We start from the raw sequence: 3,304 nt of genomic DNA on the forward strand, positions 1-3,304 counted from the left end.
AGAAAGGAAAGCAGGGAGGGAGGGCTGGAAGGAGGGAATTTAAAAAAAGAGGGAAGGAGGGGAAGGAAGGAGGGAAGGTGGGCAGAAGAGAAGGAAGGAGGGTAGGTGGGGAGAAGAGAAGGAAGGAGGGAAGGAGGGCTGGATGGGCAGCACCTCGGGGCAGGCCTTGTGTGAGCCTCGGTGCAGCGCTCCTGGCCACCTGTGCACACAGACACACGATCCCATGGGAGCTGGTGCCCAGCACTGCTGTGTGTAAACAGAGCCTGGCCCCTTCTTCCAACGCTGGCCTTTGCCTCCCGGTGGAAACCCAAGCTCCAGCCTGGGACAAGGGTTGGCAGATGTCTGTGAACAGGGCTGTCTGCCTTTGCCGATAAGAGTCCTCAGACAATGGAGTGGCCTGGCTGGGAACTCCCTCCGTGCAGAGACTTTGACAGACCCAGGTCCCTACTCTCCCACCTCTTGGAGCCATCTCTGCGAGCCTGTGCCTTCTGCCTTCCCCTGAGGCCCCAGCACCAGTTCCAGTTCCCCTCCTGTCCAAGCCCATTGCTGATGGGTGATGATCAGGGCCTCCACCTTGCACAGCGTGGGCCAGGAGCTGGCCCGTGTGGTCTCTTTGTTCACGCATGGCCTCATGACAGCCTGGTGTGAGGCTTTCCTCCAAAGCACCCCTGAAAGGTGGAGACACTGAAGCCAAGGAGGTCAAAGAGCAGCCTCAGTCCCTAGTGTCTCTGCCGTGAGGGCAACCGGACCCAGATGTGGCTGCAGTTCTGAGCCCATCAGCATCCCCCTCACTGTGCATGCTCTGAAGGCAGGCGTGGGCACTTGCAGGGCACGTGGCACCTCAGAGAGAGCCCATCCCGACAACTCACTTGCACTTAGTGTCCTTGGATACTGATTCTGTGAGGACCGTCCTCTCTCCTGGAGACCGACCACAGAAGAGAATGCTAACATATTGAGTGCCCTACAGACCAACTTGTCTAATCCTTATCATCACCGTGGCCAGCATCACCTCCAGGGTGTAAGTGAAGGCATCAAGGTGGCTTTCCGAGGTCCAGGCGGCCGCAGTGTGTGGAGATGGGCCTACCTGGTGCTACCCTTCTGGTTTCCTTCCCTCCGTGTCTGGACCTGTGGGAAGTGTCTCTCCCTTGGATAGCAGGAGAGGTGGAAAAGACCCCAGGGATGTCTGTCCTGTTCTCTTCTCAGTGCGCCCGCATAATTGGTCTGCACTTTCCCTGCCAGGCCTCAAATGGGAGAATCAGATCAACAACCGAGAATCCTCTAGCTCGGGCGAGACCCCGTGGCTGCAGCCGTACACACTAGCCGTTCACAAGGCCATCACACTCTAGGTCTTGGTTCAGAGGCTACTTCTTTCAAAGGGGATGCATTCATAAGGGCCCCTTATCTGTGCCCTCCCTGGCTGTGCTCCTTCCCCTTTTCCTTCCTCTAACAGCCACTGTGAAAGCCCAACCACAGGCTCTGGAGCAGATCCACACGGGACTCAAGAAGGAAGCTTGTCTTTCTCTTGCTGGTGCAGTTTTCACCTAGCACCTTTCCCAGAACTCCCCACCCCAACTCCACACAGAGGGGCACCGAGTCTCATGACCAGCAGCATGAATGCACACAAGGCTGGAGGGAAGGCCGGGGGATCTATTTCCAGTGTTGTCACTGAGCCGGTTTTAAAAATGAGGGGGAGATGAAGAGGCTTGTTCTCACTGTGGCCGCAATAACGCTGCATAACACACCATTCTCAAGCTCAGAGGCATGCAGCAATCAGAATTTATGTCCTGTGTGGGTCTGTTTGGCTGAAGTGGCTCAGCTCCAAGGGACAGGTCTGTGGGTTGGTTGGGGTTTGGCTGATCTAGGCTGGGCTTGGTTGGGTTTGGCTCTGGGCCACGGCATGGTCCATGTGTCCCCTCTTCCTGAGACCAGCAGGCTCCCTGGGTGTGATCTTCTCACAGCACTGGTTGAAGTGCAGGGGAGCAAGCCCAGTCCCAAACCCTCTTTCTTTTTTTTCTTTTTTGTTTTTTTTTGAGATGGAGTCTTTCTCTGTCACCCAGGCTGGAGTACAGAGGGGCAATCTTGGCTTACTGCAACCTCTGCCTCCTGAATTTAAGCAATCCATCTGCCTCAGCCTCCTGAGTAACTGGGATTACAGGCACCCACCACCATGCCTGGCTAATTTTTGTATTTTTAGTAGAGTCAGCGTTTCCCCCCATGTTGGCCAGGCTGGTCTCGAGCTCCTGACCTCAAGTGATCCACTGGCCTCGGCCTCCCAAAGTGCTGGGATTACAGGCATGAGCCACCACACCCGGCCACAAAACCCTCTTTCCAACCTTATTTGCCCCTATCAGCAAACTCACCTGGTTCAAGATGAGTCCCATGGCCAAGCCATGCCTGTGGGGAAACTGTAAAGTCATGTGGCAAAGAGTATGGATAAGGGGCAGCCTATAGGATAGGCGCCATGTTGCCATCTGGGGCTTTCCAATGGCTTCGAGCTGAACTCTGCCCTGAGCTGAACTCTGCCCTGATTGAAGTGTGCTTGTTGGTGGAGAGAGGATTGGGTCTATGGATGCTGGAAATGGTGGATTTGGGTTCAAGGCCTGGTCTGGTCACTTCCAAGCTGTGGGAGCCTGGGCGAAGCTTGTCTGAGCCACAGTTTCCCTGTGTGTAAAACGAGGGGCAATGAGTCTGTACCTAAGCTCATGCTGAGAATTGAGCGAGATGGACAGCCCGAAGCAGAGTGCCTGCCCCAAGGGATTCCTGCAAATCATGGGTGCCACAGTGTCCCTAAGGAAAGTGTGTTTTTGTTGGTGAAGTTCTCAGGACATTAGTACCCAGGCAGAGTCGGGGCATCTGGCCTCAAAGTACAAGAGAAGCAAGGAGAAATCACACAGGTAAAGCAGGGCTTACTGGCTGGGCACGGTGGCTCACACCTGTAGTCTCAGCACTTTGGGAGGCCGAGGTGGGCAGATCACAAGGTTAAGAGATCGAGACCATCCTGGCCAACATGGTGAAACCCTGTCTCTACTAAAAATACAAAAATTAGCTGGGTGTGGTGGCCAGCGCCTGTAATCCTAGCTACTCAGGAGGCTGAGGGAGGAGAATCGCTTCAATCCGGTAAGTGGAGGTTGCAGTGAGCCGAGATCACACTACTGCACTTCAGCCTGGGCGATAGAGTGAGATTCCGTCTCAAAAAACAAAAAACAAAAGAAGGGTTACCTTGTGGAAGTTTCAGAACCAAGGGGCCTTTTGAGACCCCTAGTGAGAGACGTCCCAGCTGCTCCAAAACGGATGAGGACAGTCA

Source organism: Homo sapiens, chromosome 11, assembly GCF_000001405.40.
Source record: "Homo sapiens chromosome 11, GRCh38.p14 Primary Assembly".
Classification (NCBI taxonomy): domain Eukaryota; kingdom Metazoa; phylum Chordata; class Mammalia; order Primates; family Hominidae; genus Homo; species Homo sapiens.